Source organism: Homo sapiens, chromosome 12 (genome assembly GCF_000001405.40).
Source record: "Homo sapiens chromosome 12, GRCh38.p14 Primary Assembly".
NCBI lineage: Eukaryota > Metazoa > Chordata > Mammalia > Primates > Hominidae > Homo > Homo sapiens.
The window spans coordinates 6,373,578-6,394,695 of record NC_000012.12 but is presented as its reverse complement, the minus strand read 5'-3'; the positions used below and the strand labels follow the sequence as shown (position 1 = coordinate 6,394,695).

Below are 21,118 nucleotides of genomic sequence, written 5' to 3'. Positions count from 1 at the left end.
TCCTGATGTCACGGAATCTCTGCTCTAGTACAAAAATGCGGTTCTGTCCTTAGGAAATGTGCAGAAGTCTGTTGGACAGGCAGCAGAAAGAGTCCACCACAGCTGTCTATGTGAACCGCTTTATCTTTTGAAAAGGGAAGTTCTTACTGACCCTTGTTGGGCTGACCCTGCCGGTACTCACAGTGCTTCCTGCGGGAAAAGACTAGAGTGAGTCTCCTGTGAAGTCTCAGACTGGTGGGGAAGCCGAACGCCCACCTCCCATCCACTGTGTCCACTGGAGAAACCGAGCATCCAGGGACTCCTCTGCGTGTGGCACTGTGCGGGCTTGGGGAGGAGTGGCGTGGTCAGAAAGCAGCCATCCCCTTACCGTCCTCATGGTTTTTCTTGGCTCTGCCATCCCAGGGGATGCAAAGCTTCACTCCAAGTTCTGGGATATTCAGGGTGGTAAACTTGCCACAGGATTGTTGCTAGTTGAAATTCTGTTGGGGAGGAGAGAAGCCGGAGAACTCCTACTTTGACATTGTGTTGATGCCACTCTCAAAAAGGGAAATTCTGAATTACCCCATCCTCCCCCATCTCCCTGTGCTACTGCTCTGTCCCCAGTTCCATCCACCTTTCTTCTGGACTACAGCCTTGGCCCCCTAACGGGTGTCCCACCCCCGTGTTGATGTGGGTTGGACTTGGTGTTAGCTTTCTCCTCCCTGTGGTAGAGGATTAGGGTTCTCACAACCAACAGTTACCCCATTGTCAACTGCCATTGCATCCTGTTGCATCTTTTGAAGACCACCATCAAGAGGCTGTCTTTGTTGGTTTTCTGCCAGCTTTTCCTTGTAGACAGGAGCTCCCCTCTACGTGGCCTGTGCTCTGTGGATGTGTCCTGGAGCCTGTACTGACTCCACACTGGCAAAATAGACATGGGTAATGCTGTGGGTGGAACTGTGTCTCCCTCCAAAATCCACGTGCTGAAGCCCTAACTCCCAGGACCTCAGAATGGGGCCTTATTTGGAGACAGGGGCTTTAAAGAGGTGACTAAGTTAAAATGAGGTCATCAGGATGGGCCCTAATCCACTAAGAGAAGATTAGGACACACTCATGCACAAAGGCAAGACCATGTGAAGACATAGGTGGCAGGAAGGCCACCATTAGCAGGCCAAGGACAGAGGCCTCAGAGGACACCAACCTTGCCAACACGTTGACCTCTGACTTCCAGCCTCCAGAGCTGTGAGAAGATAAATCTCTGCAGCTTAAGCTATCGAGTCTGCAGTACTTTGTTATGGCGGCCCTAGAAAATTAATTTAGGCAGCCCAGGTGCAGTGGCTCATGCCTGCAATCTCAGCTCTTTGGGAGGCTGAGGTGGGAGGATCACTTGATCCCAGGAGTTTGAGACCAGCCTGGACAACATAGCAAGACCCCACTTCTTAAAAAAGAAATTAAAAAAAAATTAGCCAGGTGTGGTGGCACGCATCTGTAGCTCTAGCTACGTGGGAGGCTGAGGTAGGAAGATCATTTGAGTCTAGGAGCTGAGGCTATATGAGCCACGATTATACCACTGCACTCAAGCCAGGGCGACACAGTAAGACCCTGTCTCTAAAAAAATACAGGCAGGTATAATTATAAATTTGAATGGTGTCACAAAGGGCTGTGCTTCAGCATCATTTCTTTCAAAATATTTTCCTCCTTTTATTTTGTTGAAAAAAATGTATAAAATTTGTTTTTTATCTAAACACATTAGAACAATTATTAAGAATTCATGAGGTCTGGCCCCAGCATATTGCAGGGGCAGGAGGATTTAACTTTATTTAAAGATACAGCTCACCATTATTTACTTTTCAAAAAAGGAAGTTGGATGTGATATTTTCACAGTCAACCTTAAATGACCCATCCACTCCATTGGATCAGACGCCTTCTGAGGTGTGTGTTTTGCAGCCGCCCCACCCTGATGAGCTCCAGCGACAGAGTTCCTCATATCAGACCCATGAGAGTGGCCTTTTATGGAAGGAGCAGCCGGCTGGCAGCAGCTCCCTAACAATCCTGCAAGCTAAGATCCTCTCGACCGAGCACAGGAGAGAATTCAGGGGCAGGGAGGGGCAAACATTTACTAATAAGAGGGCTTGAGAAGATTTAAAGTCCTTTTTGGGGGTAAAAATAAAAGAAGACAAAAAGAAACCAAAAAAGTAAAAATCATAAATACTCTTTCTGAACCAAAAGGAGGCCAGCCTAGATTTCTGTTCACCAACAAAATGTGAACTTGGCCTCTCTCATTTTATGTCTAAAGTGCACACCTCAGGTCAGGCACGGTGGCTCTCACGCCTGTAATCACTGCATGTTCAGAGGCCAAGGCAGGAGGATTGCTTGAGCCCAGGAGTTCGAGACCAGCCTGGGCAACACAGGGAGACCTGATCTCTACTAAAAATACAAAAAATTAGCTGGGCGTCGTGGCACACACCTATAGCCCCAGCTACTTGGGAGGCTGAGGTGGGCGGATCCCTTGAGCCAGGAGTTCAAGGTTGCCATGAGCCATAATAGTGCCACTGCACAACAGCCTGAGTGACAGAATTAGATCCTGTCTCAAAAAAAAAAAAAAAAATTGCACACATTTCCCTTCAATCAACCTTGGAGAACATTTTTCACTTCGCGTGTGGCTAGATGTTTGAGAGTTGACTGAAAAGTAACACCTGCGGAACATGCAAGAGATCTGATTATTTGAGAAGGCCAGACCATTCTACCCGTTCAAAGAAATTCTGGAAGGGCGTGGTATATGAAGGCTTTTTTTTCCCCAAGAGGCCTCTAAAAGCCAGACGAACTAGGTGCAAATCCCAGCTTTGTCATTTGCAGCTGAATTGGGAAAGTTACCGCTCTGTGCCTCAGTTTCCTCATTTGTTAAATGGGAATCATATCTACCTTAGGGAGTTATTGTGAAGATTAAGTAAGTTAGTACTGTAAAGCATTGAGAACACTGCCTGGCACGTTGTCAGCCATCACTGACGAGACTGTTATTACCTGGACTATACTCACCAGCTCCTCACTGAAATATCTTTATGGGATTATATTTTAGTGTCTTGACCTTTGTCTTTGAGATTGTCTCCATGGAATAGTGTTTCTGTATAAATCCCAAGAAAATAAATTATCTAGGTCCCATTCTTTTTATTTGCATGTGGTTACAATATAAATACACTTGCCATTTTCCTCCCCTTCCAAAACTCTTCCCCATACCTAGGAATCCTACCCAACCCCCTAGTTGTTAATGACTCCCTTTCCTCTCCTCTAGGAGGGGAGGGAAGGAGCGTCCTCCCTATAATTTCATCTTCATGCAGGGTCTACCTCAGTCCACGTGAAGTGTGGAACCCCAAAGGGTCTCTGAAGCTTGGGGATGAGCACCACGAATCCTTTAGAGGGGCCCGTGACGTCCTTGCAGGTGACCGTGTGGCGGCTCCCTCGGTGCCGTGCTCCGGTGCGGCGTGCCGTAGTGGGCAGCAGTTGGTATCATGTGCCCTGTCCGTGCCTGAGGCTGAGCAGCCCCAGGGGGTGGGTGGGTCTGCCGGGAGGCCTCAGGTTTGCTCAGGCAGTAGGGAGAGTCCTGTGGAGGGCACCGTACCCAGCCAGTGCCCACCTGCTCTCAGAGGTGTCTGAGCCTTAATCCCTTAGGGCTCTGCTTCCCCGGGCCCTACTCAGGCCCCTGTGAATCCCACGTGGGCAGGGCAGCCTCAAGGGAGAAGGTGCCCTTGTGCCCCCCTTCTTCTGCCTTTTCTCAGACTCAGTCAGTCATGGGTGATAAATTGGTTCCTTGGGCCCCTGTTAGAGGGTGTGGCACCACAGTGCTCTGTCTCCGCTAGGTGCCAAGCCTTGCCATCTTCCTGGTGGGGTGTAGAGAGCCCGGGAGGGCCAGGGTCCCCCTCTTCGGGAATGGGGTATGGAGGTTCGGGGGTAGCTGGGAGGTCTCCAGGACCCGGTGGTCCCCCCAGTACTGGTCCATTGTAGATGTAGATGTTGCCAGTGATAGTCATAGACCCGCCGGTGACATGAATGCCATTGGTACCTGTAGGAAGGGAGGCAGAGTGTTGAGGAAGGAAGGCCCCCAGTTCAGGCCCGCTGCTTCTTGAATTCTTGCCTTCTTCTCGCCTTTCCCCTGGCCCCGCCCCTCTCCTGCTTGCTGCTGGTTTATTGAGCTTCTGTGTTCATTTCTCTGCTTCTGGGTTTTCCAGTCTCTTCCCTCTTCTCTAGTTGTGACACTGACTGGCAGCGGAGTCTCTGTCTGCCTCTGTTTTGGTCTTTTTATTTCATCTGGCCCACAGTCTCTCCCTGCCAGCCATCCCTCCCTCCCCATCCTTCCTCTCTTCTCCCTGCCCCAGGCTCACCGTGGGCCACCTGGCTCTGCTCCCCGGGTTCCAACTGCGGCTCCCTGGTCAGGTCCAGAGGACTCTGCTGTTGCGGCACCCCTGCCTCCAAAACTGGGGCTGCGGGGAGCCCAGTGGATACTGGGGAAACATCTCCAGAAATGGGTAGCAGTGGCTGTACCAAGTCAGGGAAGTATGGATGGGCCTTCGGAGGCTCCCAGCTTCCAGCTACAGGATTGGGTCCCTCTCCCTGCAGGAAAGAGATGGAGACCCAAACAATGATGAGGGCCCCAGACCCTTTTTTCTCTCTCCCTCCCTCCCTCTTCTTTCTCTCTTTCTCTTTCTTTCTTTCCTTCCTTCCTTTCTCTCTCTCTCTCTCTTTCTCTCTCTCTCTTTCTTTCTTTCCAGACAGGGTCAGGGTCTGTCACCCAGGCTACAGTGCAGTGGTGCAATCATAGCTCACTGCAGGCTCATGAACTCTTGGACTCAAGTGATCCTCTAGCCTCAGCCTCCTGAGTAGCTGGGACTGTCTGGCTAACTTTTTTTTTTTTTTTTTTTTGAGACAGAGTCTCACTCTGTCACCCAGGCTGGAGTGCAGTGGCATAATCTCAGTTCAACTGCAACTTCCGCCTCCACGGTTCAAGCAATTCTCCTGCCTCAGCCTCCTGAGTAGCTGGGATTACAGGTGCCTGCCACCACGCCCAGCTAATTTTTGTATTTTTAGTAGAGATGGGGTTTTGCCATGTTGGCCGGGCTGGTCTCAAACCCCTGACCTCAGGTGATCCACCCGCCTTGGCCTCCCAAAGTACTGGGATTACATGTATCATGGATCGGCATGTTTGGGGGTGGTGCGGGTGCCCTCCTGTTCAGAGACCAGGATTGGGCAGGCTTGTGCGTGCAGGATGGGAGCTTGGGCGTGAGCCACTGCACCTGGCCCTGCCTGGCTAACTTGGAACAACATTTTGGGTAGAGATGGGGTCTGGCTGTGTTGCCCAGGCTGGCTCATCTTTCTTTAGTTCCCACACCCCACCGCATGCTTTGGCAACTCACCACTTGCCTCTGCTCCTCCCCATGCCCCCTGCCTCAGGGTCTTTGCACTGGTTGCTCCCTCTTCCTGGAGCACTTTCTCCCCAGATAACCCCATGGCTGGCTCCTTGCTTCTTCAGCTCTCCGCTCAAATATCAGGTTCTCAGAGAGGCCTTCACTCTCCACTCTGTCTAAAATACCCCCATCCTTTGCCACTGTCACTCATTGACCCCTTCCCTGCTTTGTTTAGCAATTATACCACCTGATATATAGTTTAACTTATTCTTGCTCCATGGGCATGTGAACTCCAGGAAATGAGGTACTGTGTTTTGCTCACTGCTGTACGCCCAGTGCCTAGGACAGTGCCTGGTACGTGGCATGTTCAGTAAATCATCAGTTGAATGAATGAATGAGTGTGGAGTCAGCCTGCATACTCTCTTCCTGTCTGCTCCACCTTGTACCCTCATCACCTCTTCCCCTTCTTGCTGCCTTCTCAGCCCCCGCCATTACCTGCGGACGCCTCTTGAGCAGCGATCCTGCAATGGAGAATGAAATGGGTGTAGGCTCCCCGGCAGGCCTCAGACCTAGCCTTTCAGCCTCCACATCCCAGCACAATGTGTAGCAACTTGACCACCCGGGGGCCCAGAGGAACAAGCCACTGTCACTCTCATCTCCAGCCTCAGAATAAGCAGCTGGATGAAGATAAGGATGTCTATGTTGGGGGTAGGCATTGGGAGTCTTGAGGGTGTGGAGGGTTGCACCGGGGAAGTTGAATATTCCTCCCTCCGGCTCCCATTGCCAACCATCCACTGCATCCAACCCTTTCCTACCCAGTTTCCTGCAGAGAGAAGGGTGGCTCTTCCAGATGCAGGAGAAGACGGTGGCAAGGAGCAGAAAGAAGGCCAGTGGCAGCAGAACGGCCAGCATCAGCATGGTTCCTGCCAGGACAGCAGACAGGAGGGTGATCACAGCCCCAAGAAGGGCAGAGGGGAGGAGGAGAAGGAAGAGCTTTCCAGATCCCTGGGCAACCCAGACAGAGAAAAGGGAGCAGCTTTTTTCCTTCTAGACACAATGCAGCTCCTAAAGGCAGAATGAGAGAAACTTCCCTTGGGTTATAGAGAAGGGGAACTAAGTTGGACTTGAGGACCTCTTGGCAGCCAGGAGAGACTGTATCATGGATGGGCATGTTTGGGGGTGGTGTGGGTGCCCTCCTGCTCAGAGACCAGGATTGGGCAGGCTTGTGTGTGCAGGATGGGAGCTTAGGCAGTTGATTTTCAAGGTCTGGAAGTGGGATTGGGAGACAGTAGGGAAGGGTGGGACTTGGAGTTGTAAACAGACACAGGCTAGAGCCACATTTCTGTGGCCTCAGCCATTGTACAGAGGGGCTGCTGTAGAGGAGCTAGGGTTGCCCTGCTGTACCTGTACCTGTGGGGGTGTTTACAGGGGTGAGAGAGTAGGGAAACTTGCTTCGGAACTGCCTGTGGCCGCCTGGTAGAGCAGGGCTTGCAAGTTCTCCACCCCCTTGCTCAGGGCAGGTTCTAGGAGGGGAAGAGAAAGAGAGGCTGGAGTTCGGCTTCTCCAGCTGTGATCTGTAGCAGTGGGTAATTTCTCTTTCTCTGGGTACCAGTGCTGCCAGCAATAGCATGGAGCCTCCAGTGTCCGTCAGCTACGCCTGGGGAAGGGCGGGAGGACTCCCGCATTTCTATGCTGGGCATTTTGCCTCTTCTCATTCATGTAAATCTGTAGCCTAAGGGAATATGGGATGGGAGGCCTGGGGAGAAACTGGACTGGGAGTCTGGGCCACGGTTTCCTGCCCGGCTGTGTGACTTTTAAGTCATTTCACTTCTTTGGGCATCAGTTTTTCATATATAGGATGAGGTTAGCTTACATACTCTCTAAAATTCCAGCTCTAAAATGCCAGTTGTATTTGATACATAGTTAAAAATTAACAGGGCACAGAAAAATACTTAGATTGTGGAATGAAAAAATCAGGTTACGAAATATTAAAATTACTTCACTTTTAGTAAACAACAACAAAACCCAGTATGTATAAACATGCATAGAAAATGTCCGGGAGGATATATACCACAATGTAACGAGTGGATATTCTAGGTAGTGGCTCTGTGGGTGAGTTTTTAGTTTTGCTTATCTGAAGTCTCTAATTTTCTATAGTGCATGCATTATGACATGGGCTCTGGAGTAAGAAAACCTGAGTACAGGTTCTAATAACACCAGTGACCACCTGTGTGGGTGATCTTGAGTATATCACTTAACCTCTTTGAGCCTCGGTTTCTTCCTTCAGTCCATGAGGATGATAATAGAATCTACTTCATAGCATCATTAAGAAGATTAAATGAGTTAGTAAATGTAAAGTGGTTACAGAGTGCCCAACACACACAGTGAACCTTCTGCCAATTAGTGATGTTACAGTCATTAGAAACAATAGTCATCTACTAGGCTAGCAAGCCAATCAGTCCACAGGAAACAGTCAAGAAAGAGTCAAATGGGAATCTTCTGTCTAATAATAAAAGTATATAGTCTAATAAAGAGGTGTTTGGTCTAGTTAATGGATTGTGTGAAAAAAAAAAACGGATTGTGTAATGTTGGTAAGCCCAAAATGATGACAATAGTAGTTATCATTACATCTCAGTGTGGGATGTGTTCCTTGACATAGTATTACAGTATATATAATTTTAAAAGTGTGTGTGTGTGTGTGTGTGTGTGTGTGTGTAAACTAGCCTAGAGATACTCCAATTTTTTCTGTAAGGAACTTTCTTCTTGCCCAATTCTGGGAGGGAAGTGTTCATCTTTTCCCCATTTTTTTTAAGATGTGGAGCATTAAGGCATTTTCAGAGGCGCCCCCCCCGTGTCCCTCAGCCCTGGTCCCTCACCTGACATCTCTGGGGGCAGTGGCTCTAATGGATTTTTGCAGGTTGTGTCGGACTGGGCAGTGCCTGGAGCTGCCTCCACCAGACCTTGGTTCTCACACCTGCAGAGGAAAAAAAGATGATGACCTTTTCACGCCCTGGCCCACCAGTGTCCCGACTCCACTGGGCAGGCGGGGAGGCTGAAAGTGGTGAGTCGAGTCCGTGGTGTCAAGGATAGGCGCTGGGGGTTGTTAGCAGCTGAGGCTTCTCAGAGGGTGGAAGGAGCTTGGGTGGGGCTGCACTCACCTGGTGTGGGGCTGGCAGCGGGCGCTGGGGGAGGAGGTATTCTGGAAGTGCCCGGCCTTGCAGGGGACGCAGTGGTTGTTACCCTTCCCAACTTCATCTGGCAAGAGAAAGGCAGGCCAGCCAGGGTGAATGGGCAAAAGGGAGGGGCCCTTTGCCGGCCTGTGAGTTTCCTTTAAGCCTCAGGATGCCCATCCACCCCATTGCGTAGCTCTCACCTTTCCCAAGCTCTGCTTTGCTGCCTTTTTTTTTTTTTTTTTTGAGACGGAGTCTTGCTCTGTCGCCCAGGCTGGAGTGCAGTGGCGCGATCTCGGCTCACTGCAAGCTCCGCCTCCCAAGTTCACGCCATTCTCCTGCCTCAGCCTCCCGAGTAGCTGGGATACAGGCGCCCACCACCACGCCCGGCTAATTTTTTGTATTTTTAGTAGAGACGGGGTTTCACTGTGTTAGCCAGGATGGTCTCGATCTCCTGACCTCGTGATCCGCCCACCTCGGCCTCCCAAAGTGCTGGGATTACAGGCGTGGGCCACCACACCCGGCCTACTGCCTACCATTTTGCCCAAGCTTCCCAGTACTGAGAAGAACCACCTCCTGTGTCCCCTGCACCTGTCCCAGTTCCATGTCCCTCCAGAACCCTTCTGTGAGCCTCTGCATGGAATGAGAAGAGGAATTTTAAGCCAAGGATCTGGGGGGTCGCCGTGGACACAGTACCATATTCCCTGCTCCCACTTGAGATCCCTGGCACCCAGCCTCCTTTTCACATCCAGCCCCTCAGGGACCTCTGACCTTTGAGCTCGGCTTCAGTGCCAGGCGGGCAGTCAGAAAGTAGCTCGCAGTGTGTACACTCGAGGGCCCAGGCAGCACAGAACATTCCCGGCTGGCAGCGGCACTGGGTCTTCCGTTTGCTTGTGCAGGGGGCAATCTCCTCGAGGCCCATCACTGGCGGGGAGACGGGAGGGCTCAGGGAGGGGCCAAGCTCCAGGGGATCCAGCCCCCCCGCAGGCACATCCCCACTCACCTGGGTCACAGGGGCGGCACAGCTGGCAGATGGTCAGGTAGTTCCAGTGCTCGTTGTAGGAATTCTCGGCACATGTGGCACAAACTGTGTCCCGGATGCGGCTACATTTAGCTGAGACATAGGTGCCTAGAACGTGAGTGGAGCAGTAGAGCCTCAGGAGACGAGGCTCCACCCTCACCTCCGCTGCCTGTAGTGTGACCCTGGCCTTTCCCTCGGTCTCTCTGGCCCCCCATCATCCTGCCAGTGGCCCTCCGGCTCCCTCTCAGTGAGGTAAGGAAAGAGGAGGCCCAGTGGGGAGGGCCAGTCCCATCTCCTCCACGTGATGTCCAGGGTTTCCCACGCTCGTCTCCAGCAGCCAGTTTTCCTGGGGGACAGTGCCCACCTTCCCTCTGAGGCCGCGAGGGGGCTGGAGCCCCCGTGACCCACTTCCGAGGCCCAGGTTCGTCCTGCCATTGCCTCTCACCTGGCGGGCAGCGGGAGCAGCAGATGCGGTGCTGGGGCTCATAGTATTCCTTTTCCTGGTCCCTGCAGGTCTGGTTCTCCGACGCATATGGAGGCACCTTCAAAGGGAGATGGAGAAGAGGAGAGAAGAATTAGTCAGGGGTCAGCTTGGGAGGGCAGAGGGAATGGAGCGACGGCTGCCCAGATCCCTCTTGCCCACCCTCGCCCACTCCTACCAGGCCCCTTCCTCACCGCCTGGGGCTGCGATGCTGCCAGGAGCCCGAAGAGGCCCAGCACCAGAGGCCCCCAGGCCAGGCCGGGGGCAGAGGTGGCCCAAGGCAGGAGCATGGCGGCCACTCGGCCAGGCGGCCAGCAACGTGGGGGCCTGGGAGGAAGGCAGGAGGCCCGACGTCCTGGGCAGCGGTGGCGGCGGCTGCCCGAGCCCAGAGCCTGGGACGGGACTCAGGGCCGATGTGCACCCCAGGGCCGGGAGCGGCCAGGCCGGGCCTCCAGGGCTCCCATGGCGGAGCTCAGGAAGTGGGAGTGGAGCGAGCTGGCCGCGGGGCGGGGACAGGGAGCGCTGGGAGCCAGGCCGGCCTGTCGCAATCGCAGCCCAGGGAAGAGGAACAGGCTTGTCTGCCTCGATGCGGGGCGGGAGGGGCGGCCGGGAAAGCACGTGAGGGCCGCGGGGCCGGAACCGGCCTCCTCCCTTCTTCGGAAGCCCGATCGGGAGAGCGGACTGCGGACAGCCCTGGCCCAGCCGAGGGAAGGGCGGCGGGCCCGGGGTCAGCCCTTGGACAAGCCTCGCAGGGAGAGCAGAGGGAGTTCCAGAGAGCGCAAGGGACAGCTGGGTGCGGGATCTGGAAAGCGAGGGGCCCAGGACGGGCAGTCATGGAGAGGGCAGGGCGCGGGGACTGCAAGGCCGCAGAAGCAGCTCTGAGACCGAGGAGAACCGGCTGGCAGATGCCCGGGTTCCTCCCCCGTTGTCCTGCCCTACTGTGGGAGTTTTTCAGACAAATTACAAGGGACTAGCAAATCAGCCAGCCCCCCACGCTACCAACCCAGCCCAATCCGCACAGGAGTGGGCACAGGTCACCTAGGAGACCCTTGAGAGCTGTGCAGCTTGCCCTGCTCCCTGTCCTCAGGGAACCTCCCTCCCAAAGAGAGGGGGAGGATATGCGGAGGGGAGTCCTGGGGCCAGCAGGCTGGACCTGGGCACTCAGTCCCTCTGCTCTGGCTTCTTTGCCCATGAACCTTCAAACCCCTTAGAACTGGAGAAAGCTGAGAGCCCACGCAGTCCAGCCCCCTCACCTTAAGCATGGAGAGGGAGGCTAAGGGTGATACATAAGGGAACCGGGATTCCAGGGTGGCCTGGTCTCGTTCCTGCCCTGTTTCATCCTCCCATCTCCCTCAACCCAACACCCCACCCACCCGTGGAGTTACTTGCAGCTGCCCCCTTTTACACGTGGTTCTCTGGTCCCCAAGTTTCCGTCTTCCTAACTCCCACCTGTCCTTGAGGCTTCACTGAGGCTCTGGAAGGCAACCTCTGCCCTAGGTTGCACAGTCCCCGTGAAGACTGCCCTCTGTACCTGGCTGTCTTGTTTGCTTCCCACCAGGCTGTGAGTGCCACCATGGCCCAGGCTGAATCTTCAAGTCTGTGTTCCCCATGCTTAGCAGAGTCTGGCACATACCATGTGCCCAATAGGTATTTATGGAATAAATGAGTGATGGCCACATCACAGAGCCAGTCCACCGCAGAGCCAGCTACAATCTGGGTCTCCTGATGTCTAGGTCCCAACTCATTCCAGCAGTCCTGCCAACTCCTTGTGGCTCAGGGATGTCTCCCTTGGGATGAGGGGCTAACCTCTCTTGAGATAGGTCACTTGGGCACTATCCCCCTCCCTGAAGGACTCTGTTCAGCACTCGTCCTTACACTGGTCTGTCTAACTTCAGGTCTGATGTCTGGACAGGTGCAGGTGATGGGAAGTGTGCATGGGGAGGAGAGGTCACAAAAGGGGGAAAGGACCTGCCTAGGCTGTAGGCATTTCACTCTGTGAGGCTCTCTCCCCTCACCTGGTGCAGGCAGCTCACCGTACAGATGGGCCAAAGATGGCTGGAAAGGGCAGAAGTATCAGAACAGCATGCACTGCGCGGGGCTGCTGAGCCTTCCAGGGCCCTAGCGCTGGGGGCTGGGATGAGAGTCCCTGCTGAGCTCTTAAACGCGTAAAGGAATGTGTGTGTAGCGACCCTAGGTCCTTTTTTCTCTCTCTTCTTTTTACTTTTTACTGTGGAAATTCCACATGCAAGATAATATACCAAAAGAGAAAAAGTAATATTGGGAGTCTCCCATATACTCCTTACCCAGCTTCAACTCACTGTCAGTTTCATTTATTCTGTATACCCCCTCCCCCACCAACGCACACACTCTTCAAATCCCTCATTATTATTTTGAAGTAAATCCCAGACATCATATCATTTCATTTGAAAATATTTCAGGATTTTACCCTAAAAGACAGGGACTCTTTCTCTATTCTATTTTTCTTTTTTTCCCCACCCTGTCTTATGCTGCTGAGACCCTTTCTTTTAATAGAGGTGTAACATATAATACAATGAAACCGTAAGGTACACTGATCTTACAGATACAGCTCAGAGAGTCTTCACTTTTGTGTATTCTTGCATATCCCCCAACTGGTCCAGAACACCTCTTCTCTTCTCTTCTTTTCTCTTTTCCTTTCCATACAGAGTCTCGCTTTGTCGCCCAGGCTGGAGTGCAGTGGTGCAATCTCGGCTCACTACAACCTCTGCCTCCCAGGTTCAAACAATTCTCTGCCTCAACCTCCCGAGTAGCTGGGATTACGGGCGCCTGCCACCATGCCTGGCTGATTTTTGTATTTTTAGTAGAGATGGGGTTTCGCCATGTTGACCAGGCTGGTCTTGAACTCCTGATGTTGTGATCCACCCGCCTTGGCCTCCCAAAGTGCTGGGATTACAGGCGTGAGCCACGGCACCCGGCCCCAGAATGTTCCTTGCACTACAAATGTTTGCTACATGCCCTTCCCAGTCAAAGCTTCCTGCTTCACAGGTAACCACTATGTCCAGACCCCTTTTAACCCCAGCTGGCTGGACTGTATGTTTCTTTCTGCTGCCAGCCGTAAGCTGGCGCTTCAGCCCTCATGGACTCTCTACACCCTAAGGAACGAGCCCTGAGATCTGGGTTTTGATCCTGGCCCCATCACTTTATCTCTGTGTGCCTCTTTATTGTGTCAGTCAGCTACTGGTTTGCTTGCAGGTCTGTGGGATGGAGGTGGGATGGGAGGAGTGAAGCAGCCAGGCTATTTCTCTCCTCTCTGCTTTCTGGCTTCACCTGCAGTTGGTTGTCTTCCTTCCTTCCCCACTTCCATAATCCCATCTCCTACCAGTAGTCCACACTATTTAGTTCCTGCCAAATGGCTCTGGAGGCTTCTTGGTCTTTGATGCTACATCACCCTGCCATCTTTCCAGGCCTAGAGATGGTAGCTGCTTCCCGCTCTGCTGTTTTCTGAGCTGCCTCCCATTGTCTTCTCAGCTCCTCCATCACCCATGTACCAGTTAGTTCTCTGTGTTAAACTTCTTCTGTTTGAAAGACTTAGAGTGTTTCTTGTTTCCCAGCTGGATCACGAAAGACAAATCTTACCAATAAATGGCTACTATAATGCCCAGCCATCCCCAGGAGGATAAAGGGAGACTCCAGGGGTGAGAAATCCACAGGTTCACCGCGGGCAGGGCATTGTCTTTACTCCTGTCCTTTTGTGTTTTTCACCAGAGCCTCCTGAGACTGATTTCCACTGGGCAACACCAGACCCAGACCGAGCACCCCAGGACGCCTAGAAGGTGTGTGAGGGTGGGACTCTTCTCCCAGGCCTTCTTCCGAAGGAGCTGCTGAGAGAGCCTTCTTTCCACAGGCCCATTAGGCATCCAGAAAGGGGGCTGATGGAAATGGATTCTTCTTCTTCTTCTTCTTCTTTTTTTTTTTTTTTTGAGACAGAGTCTCAGTCTGTCGCCCAGGCTGGAGTGCAATGGTGCAATCTCAGCTCACTGCAACCTCCGCCTCCCAGGTTCAAGTGATTTTCCTGGCCTCAGCCTCCCAAGTTGAGTAGCTGGGACTACAGGCATGCGCCAACAGGCCCGGCTAATTTTTGTATTTTTAGTAGAGATGGTGTTTTGCCATGTTGGCCACAGGCTGGTTTTGAATTCCTGGTCTCAAGTCATTTCGCCCACCTTAGCCTCCCAAAGTACTGGGATTACAGGCACGAGCCACTGTACCCGGCCAGGAATGGATTCTTCTAAATACTTTTTCTTTCTCTCTTCTTCTCCACTCTGCTCTTAGCTGACTAGTGCTCTTGGAAATGGTCTGGCAAACACCCAGAAGTGCATAACAGATGAGGGTTGTCCTTTTCCAGAGTATTTGCATTTTCAGTGGTGACAATGCCTTAACCCAGTCTTTTCAACGGGGGTGACTTTGCCCCCCAGAAGTCATTTGGCAATATTTGGAGATGTTTTGGTCACAATGACTCAGGAGGTGCTACTAGCATCTAATAGATGGAAGCCAGGGATGCTGCTGAACATCCTGCACAGGATTGTAGATAGGACAGAATCATCCTGTCCCACCACAAAGAATGATACAGCCGAAAATGTCAATAGTGCCAAGGTTGATAAACCCTGTCTTCAATCAAAGTGATAAACTTCTAGTAGTGAACTTCTTTTTTTGTTTTTTTTTTTGTTTTTTTTTTTTTTGAGACAGAGTCTTGCTTTGTCTCCCAGGCTGGAGTGCAGTGGCACGATCTTGGCTCACTCCAAGCTCCACCTCCCCGGTTTTATGCCATTCTCCTGCCTCAGCCTCCCGAGTAGCTGGGACTACAGGCGTGCACCACTTATGCCCAGCTAATTTTTTTTGTAATTTTAGTAGAGACGGGGTTTCACCATGTTAGCCAGGATGGCCTCGATCCCCTGACCTCATGATCCACCCGCCTCGGCCTCCCAAAGTGCTGGGATTACAGGCGTGAGCCACCATGCCCGGCCAACTTCTAGTAGTGAACTTCTAAGTAAACTGCCAGGGGACTAGATGAAGAGTGGCATTTTTCTGGTCCATCATTTTAAATGAAAGAGAAATCTGTACCACATAAGGGCAGCTGAAAGGACTGTTGTCTTCCACAGTGGGCAGCCCCCAGTGTGAAGTGGCTAATTAGCTCCAAGTAGTAAGAATAAAGAGTTGCATTTAACTAAGTAACTGATTCTTATCCTGGAAAGGATAGAAGTGAACAGGGAAAAGTGAAGAAAATTTAGATAAATTAATAGACCACAAATAAATGGGTTGTCAGAGGAAGTTAGGATGTTTGAAGTTTTGCAGATGCTTTTTCGTAGCATATCCCGCTCTGTCAAAGATAAACTAGGAAAGACGCCAGTTCTGCTGTCTTCTGCAGACTGGGTCAGCAAACAGTGACCGCTAGACACTGAGGTCACCAAGATGAATACGCCTGGTCTCTGTCCTTGTGTTGCGGGAAGTCAGGGACCCCAAACGGATGTATACGTACAAACACACATACATCAGGATAATAGTAAATAATAATAATAAATAATAGTAAACAGTGGTAAGTGCAGAGATAGGCTCTCCCTAGGAGGGTGGAGTGATTACTTCCGTCATCTCCTGTCCGCGGAGAACAAGAGGCAGGAAGACCCTTTGCACTCATAACCCTCATCCCATGGCAGCCCCTCTGGTTTCACTTCTCTCCCTGCAGCCGTGCATATTTTATGGCCACACCACAGGGTTAGAGGATAGCTGGTGTTGGGAGGGGAAGGCAGCCCTGGGTTGGCGGGAAGGGCTGGGGCTCTGGGGGAGTCTGGGGGTAGTCCTGGGAAGGCAGGGGGTCCTTCCAAGACAGAGTCTACAAAGCTCTTGACTTCTTATAGAACAAAACTGTACTTCTCTCAAAGTCAGAGAAGGAGAACTGGGCTTGGAAAGGAGTGGCCTGGTTTTCAGTCTGACCCCACCCCTAACTCCTGGGTGACTGTGGCCAAGTCACTTTGCTTCTGTGGGCCTCAGTCCCCTCATGCATGAAGCAGGGGGCTAGATGCAAGGTCAGCTGGAAAAAGTCTTTGTCCATCTGGGTTGCCTTACCCACCCCTTCTTGCCCTTTCATTTTCTCAGGTAAGATCACCGGGGCCCATAGAGGTCAAGTGCCTTTCTCAAAGTCACATAGTTTAAAAGCAAAAATAGGGGCTGAGTATGGTGGCTCACACTTGTAATCCCAGCACTTTGGGAGGCTGAGGCAGGAGGACTGCTTGAGCCTAGGAGTTGGAGGCTGCAGTGAGCCATGATCATGCTGCTGTACTCCAGCCTAGAGGATAGTGCATGATCCTGTCTCTAAGATAAATAAGAAAATAAAAGCAAAAATGGAAGTTGTAGAAACATACCTATAGCATGGTCTCTGTCATAAAAAAGAACTATATATTTTGTTTTTTAAAAATACATGTAAGTTTATAAAGGCACACAAAAAGATATAGACAGATATACAAATTATGGTGGCTCCCCTTTGGGGAGGGAAAGGAAGGGGACTAAGGGAAGCTCTATATACTTCTGTATTGCTGAAAAATTGTACTGTGACAAAAACATATTTGTGTATTATTTGTACACTTTAAAAGATCATCTTTAAAATGGACTTCTGACCAAAGTCCAGGTCTCAGATTTCTATTTTCCTCACAACACCAAGCCTGTTCTAGCCCGCTCCAGGTCTAGAATGCTGCAGCACTAGGCTCGCATTGCCACTCCCATACCCGGCAGGACGTGGCAGGGTCACCACCCTTTGGCTCAGCCCAGACCAGGCATTGCAATTCTTCTCACAGAGCCCTTGATATGAAAACTATTTGCCATGCTGCCTTAAGCTAGTGGTTGGATTTCAGGCATGAGCTGGCAAATAGAAAAGGCAGGGAGGTGCTTTTCAGAACCTTTGAGATCAAACAGCCAGGGTGCTGAGCACCTTATTGCAGGGAGGACCATGCCCAATGTAAGGACCTGGCTCAAGGGAGACTGGAGTTTCTAGGGGTCTCTGGGATATGTGGGGCAGTGGGGACAGTGCAGAGACCTTTTCACAGAGCCAAGGAGATAACCCAGCACCCAGAGAGCAGACGAATCCACGGGCTCTGTGTGGGAGTGAGGGAGGCCTTCCCGGCTTTCACATCCAGGTGCACCTGAGCCCCGATCCCCCATGAGTCTGTCTCAGGAAGTAAATGGCAAAAGCGCTAAGTAGATAGCCCCAGAGGAGGAGGAGAATTCTGAATTCTGTTTATAGCTCTGCTCCTATTTTGTTTTCTAACCTCAGAAAACTGATTTATCCTTGGGAAGGGTCAGTTTCTTCATTAGGACAATGAAGAAAAATCCAGCTGTCCCTTCCAAGGGGAGGTATCATGAGCAGTATCAAGGTAAGCAAGGGAACCTGGTTTGGAATCCTGGTTGACACCGGCTTTCACTTTAAGAAGTCGCAAGAGACTGCCGCAAGAGAGGAAGCCACAGACCAGGTTGGACCCTGAGCCTGGAGTACTGCCTTTTCTCTTCTTTGCCTGCTAAACTCCTTGCTTGTCAAGATTCAGCAGAGATGACACCTTCTCTGGGAAGGCTTCCTGAGTCTCCTGCAGTGAGCCCCTAGGCTCCCCTAGCCCTTGGCTCTTATGTCTTATCTCTGAGAAATCTGAGATCTGCACTTTTGTTAGAAGTCCGTTTTAAAGACAATCTTTTAAAGTGTACAAATAGAAACCTTATCTTATTGTATTGCAGGCCTATCTCCTCCCCCGGTGTGTATCAATGCTCAGGCTGGGCCTTTGTCTGCTGGCTTGTGGAGGGAGGCAGGACAAGCCAGTGACCACATTCCTGCACTCTGGGCTGCCTCCTGTGGGGCCCGTGAGGAAGCGGCAGCCTTCCCTGCCGCGTGCAGGGCCTGGGTTGTGTGGGTGGCTCTCCCGAGTCTCCTCCAGCCCTTTTTGGGTCTGATTCTCTGACCCTCCTCTCTCTCCTTGCTCACCACTTGGCACTCCACTCCTTATCCTTTTGCTGCATTAAGTTTGGAAAGAGATTTTGGAGAAAATATAGCCCATCAACGAATTTCTCCTCCTCCCAGGGCCTGTCTAGGCGTGTGCCATGCCCACCCTCTTCCTTTCCAGCGCTGGCCACATCCTCCCTGCACCTTCAGTGCCTGCTTTCCCTGCCTCTTCCTGGGCTCCGGGTCTGTGTCCACAGTGTCCTGCGTGGCCCTCGCGCTGCCTCTGGTTGCCCACATTCCTGCAACTCTGTGACCACAGCAGGGGCGATTACACATTCCTGGCCTGGCAGCCAACAGTGTAAAAAAGAACAGAATGTCCTAGGGCCCCGCCTAGCCCCCAGCTTCACCTGGGCCCCTCCCGGGTCTGGACAAGGTTGGAGGGGGTGGCGAGGAATCAGCAGGAAAGAGGAGGGACCAGGAGGAGGCAGACGCATCCCACCTGAGTGCGCTGCTCCCACTTAGTGAGCGGGGAGGAGACCTGCAGAGACCTCTTCTCTCTTCTCTGCAGGGCCTGAGGGTGAGGCTGACCTGTGGGTGCCCTTGGAGGGCTGCCCACTTGCTGAGCCTCTAGCTCCTGGAAGCACACTTGGGACTCCCCCCTTGCTCTCCTTCCTGGAGACAGACTCCCTTTGGTGCTGGCTCCTTCTATTTGCCCCCACCACTGCCCCCCACCTGCCTCTACTCACTCAGTGCCCCTCCTCCATCCCTATCTCTCTGTCCTTCGCTGTCCCTCTCTATTGTCTCCCTCTTTCTGCCCTCCTGTCCTCCCGGTTCCCCACCCAGGCCCTCTCAGCCTGGCTGGCCCCTTCTCCTTGTGTTGCCCTCCTAGCTGTGGGCTCAGGATCCTTCTACTTGTTCAGATCTTTGCCCCTCACCTGCCATCCTGTCCCCCAGCCTCCTTGCCTGTCTGCGTCTAAAGCCCCTGCCCAGAGTCCGCCTTCTCAGGTCCAGTACTCCCAGTTCACCTGCCCTCGGGAGCCCTCCTTCCTTCGGAAAACTCCCGGCTCTGACTCCTCCTCAGCCCCTCCCCCCGCCCTGCTCACCTTTAATTGAGATGCTAATGAGATTCCTGTCGCTTCCATCCCTGGCCGGCCAGCGGGCGGGCTCCCCAGCCAGGCCGCTGCACCTGTCAGGTGAGGGGGAGGAGAGGTTTGGCTGCCAGATTCAACTGGAAAGGAACCAGTCCCAGTCCAGCCGCAACCTGGGAGTGGGAAGCTGGAGGCAGCCCAGACCTCCTGGAGCCCTGCAGTCCTGGGGCAGAGACAGAATCAGGACACAGCTCGAGGTCAGGGCCAGAGGCTGGAGCTGAGGGCCTAGAGTGAGAGGGGGCAAGGCAAGGGGGGGAGAGGAAGAGAGGCAGGATTAGAGAGAGGAGGCAGGCCAGAAAGAGGAGAGCAGGAGAGACCCAAAGAGAAACAGAAGGCAGATAGAGAGGGAGTGAGAGGCAGGAGCTGAGACACAGATCCTGGAGGAAGAAGACCAAAGGAAGGGGGCAGAGACAGAAAGGGAGGTGCTAGGACAAAACTCGAAAGGTGGCCCTATCAGGGAAGCAGAGGAGAGGCCGTTCTAGGGAAGCCCAGCTCCGGCACTTTTGGCCCCAACTCCCGCAGGTCTGCTGGCTCCAGGAAAGGTGGAGGAGGGAGGGAGGAGTGGGAGAATGTGGGCGCAGGGTGGGACATGGGCATGGCCAGGGGCAGCCTCACTCGGGTTCCAGGGGTGATGGGAGAGGGCACTCAGGGCCCAGAGCTCAGCCTTGACCCTGACCCTTGCTCTCCCCAATCCACTCCGGGGCTCATGAAGGGGAACAAGCTGGAGGAGCAGGACCCTAGACCTCTGCAGCCCATACCAGGTCTCATGGAGGGGAACAAGCTGGAGGAGCAGGACTCTAGCCCTCCACAGTCCACTCCAGGGCTCATGAAGGGGAACAAGCGTGAGGAGCAGGGGCTGGGCCCCGAACCTGCGGCGCCCCAGCAGCCCACGGCGGAGGAGGAGGCCCTGATCGAGTTCCACCGCTCCTACCGAGAGCTCTTCGAGTTCTTCTGCAACAACACCACCATCCACGGCGCCATCCGCCTGGTGTGCTCCCAGCACAACCGCATGAAGACGGCCTTCTGGGCAGTGCTGTGGCTCTGCACCTTTGGCATGATGTACTGGCAATTCGGCCTGCTTTTCGGAGAGTACTTCAGCTACCCCGTCAGCCTCAACATCAACCTCAACTCGGACAAGCTCGTCTTCCCCGCAGTGACCATCTGCACCCTCAATCCCTACAGGTCGGTTAGTCCCTCTGCCCCTTCCCTGGTGCCTGCGCCTGGAAGGGTGGTCCAGGGTGCTGAGGTGCTCACTGGGCAGGCAGAGCCTCAGACCTGAGGGTGGGAACTGACACCCCTGTCCCAGGTAGAGCTCACTGCTGGCAAAATGAGGAGCCTCCAGCTTACTGGACTGGCGTCCCTGCCCAGTGGAGCCATCCTAGCACCCCAGGCTCACCCAGAGTGTGGTTGTTGGAGCAGCATTGCCCTCCCCTGCCCTCTCTTCTCCTTCCCTCCCATTCCCTTCTCCCTCCTGCAAGTGGGAGGGAGTGCTTGCAAAAGGGCAGGGGTGTGCTCAGCTGCATCCCTTTTCTGGAGCAAGATGCCAGCAAAGTATAAGACCTCGTCCACCTCAGCAGGAGAGTCTGATGGAGGGGTGAGGCTAGGTGAGGGGAGGCGAGACCGTGCAGGTGCTGTGGAGGTGGTGCTGTCAGTCTTTGTTTAGAAGGGGAATTTATTATGGAGAAAGCAAAGAGGGGGATCGTGGAGGTTAGGGCTGCAAGTGAGCCCAAAGGCTGGGGGCAGGGGCCTTACAGAACAAGGAGAATGGGTCAGGCTAGAGAGCAGCTCCTTGTGAAGCTCTTCCCCCAAAAGACCCAGGCTAAAATGCTGCACTGTTGACCTGCCCAGGTGCCTGACCTTTACGTGCTTGGGTGTGTCCTGAACTTTTGGGTTTCATCGGTGCTCTTTGCCAATGTTGGGTCTGGAAACCGGAGCAGGTGGTAAGCGTGGAGAAGAGAGGAGGGCAGGGCTG

General features: G+C 53.0%; 2 protein-coding genes across 19 annotated transcripts in view, besides 4 other annotated features; one reads left to right on the top strand and one right to left on the bottom strand.

Moving 5' to 3' along the window:
• Positions 3,130–19,536, bottom strand: LTBR (lymphotoxin beta receptor). Of its 16 annotated transcripts, none has more exons than NR_182271.1 (11): positions 10,242–10,534; positions 10,012–10,108; positions 9,549–9,674; positions 9,317–9,469; positions 8,534–8,630; positions 8,252–8,349; positions 6,786–6,898; positions 6,191–6,298; positions 5,871–5,896; positions 4,356–4,584; positions 3,130–4,036 (listed from the first exon to the last, which is right to left on the bottom strand). NR_182271.1 is itself a non-coding variant. In NM_001414305.1 (11 exons), exons 1-11 carry the CDS (start codon positions 10,335–10,337, stop codon positions 3,759–3,761), a joined length of 1,368 nt encoding a protein of 455 aa, NP_001401234.1. In that variant the 5' UTR covers positions 10,338–10,534; the 3' UTR covers positions 3,130–3,758. The 16 variants fall into 16 exon arrangements, 12 of the variants coding, with proteins under 12 accessions (NP_001401234.1, NP_001401235.1, NP_001257916.1 ...); NR_182273.1 differs by having other exon boundaries at positions 6,828–6,898; NM_001414305.1 differs by lacking the exon at positions 6,786–6,898 and adding an exon at positions 9,119–9,178.
• Positions 3,223–4,035: an enhancer, noted in NCBI's record as "H3K4me1 hESC enhancer chr12:6499827-6500639 (GRCh37/hg19 assembly coordinates)". NCBI's record gives its function as "activates a minimal SCP1, AML or CMV promoter by ChIP-STARR-seq in naive H9 embryonic stem cells {active_cell/tissue: H9 hESC(naive)}" and the evidence as "EXISTENCE:reporter gene assay evidence [ECO:0000049][PMID:30033119]".
• Positions 10,616–11,481: an enhancer, noted in NCBI's record as "H3K27ac-H3K4me1 hESC enhancer chr12:6492381-6493246 (GRCh37/hg19 assembly coordinates)". NCBI's record gives its function as "activates a minimal SCP1, AML or CMV promoter by ChIP-STARR-seq in naive H9 embryonic stem cells {active_cell/tissue: H9 hESC(naive)}" and the evidence as "EXISTENCE:reporter gene assay evidence [ECO:0000049][PMID:30033119]".
• The window catches only part of SCNN1A (sodium channel epithelial 1 subunit alpha), a 30,513-nt gene continuing 26,731 nt past the window's right edge, over positions 17,337–21,118 (top strand). Inside the window, exons 1-2 of one of the 3 annotated variants that reach the window (NM_001159575.2) lie at positions 17,337–17,444; positions 19,859–20,328. In NM_001159575.2, coding sequence (NP_001153047.1) covers positions 17,430–17,444; positions 19,859–20,328 — 485 coding nt within the window. In that variant the 5' untranslated portion in view covers positions 17,337–17,429. Of the gene's footprint in view, positions 17,445–19,132; positions 19,192–19,245; positions 20,329–21,118 lie in introns of those variants that run through there. The other 2 variants (NM_001038.6, NM_001159576.2) reach the window with 2 other exon arrangements.
• Positions 17,701–18,305: an enhancer, noted in NCBI's record as "NANOG-H3K27ac-H3K4me1 hESC enhancer chr12:6485557-6486161 (GRCh37/hg19 assembly coordinates)". NCBI's record gives its function as "activates a minimal SCP1, AML or CMV promoter by ChIP-STARR-seq in naive and primed H9 embryonic stem cells {active_cell/tissue: H9 hESC(naive and primed)}" and the evidence as "EXISTENCE:reporter gene assay evidence [ECO:0000049][PMID:30033119]".
• Positions 20,122–20,726: an enhancer, noted in NCBI's record as "H3K27ac-H3K4me1 hESC enhancer chr12:6483136-6483740 (GRCh37/hg19 assembly coordinates)". NCBI's record gives its function as "activates a minimal SCP1, AML or CMV promoter by ChIP-STARR-seq in naive H9 embryonic stem cells {active_cell/tissue: H9 hESC(naive)}" and the evidence as "EXISTENCE:reporter gene assay evidence [ECO:0000049][PMID:30033119]".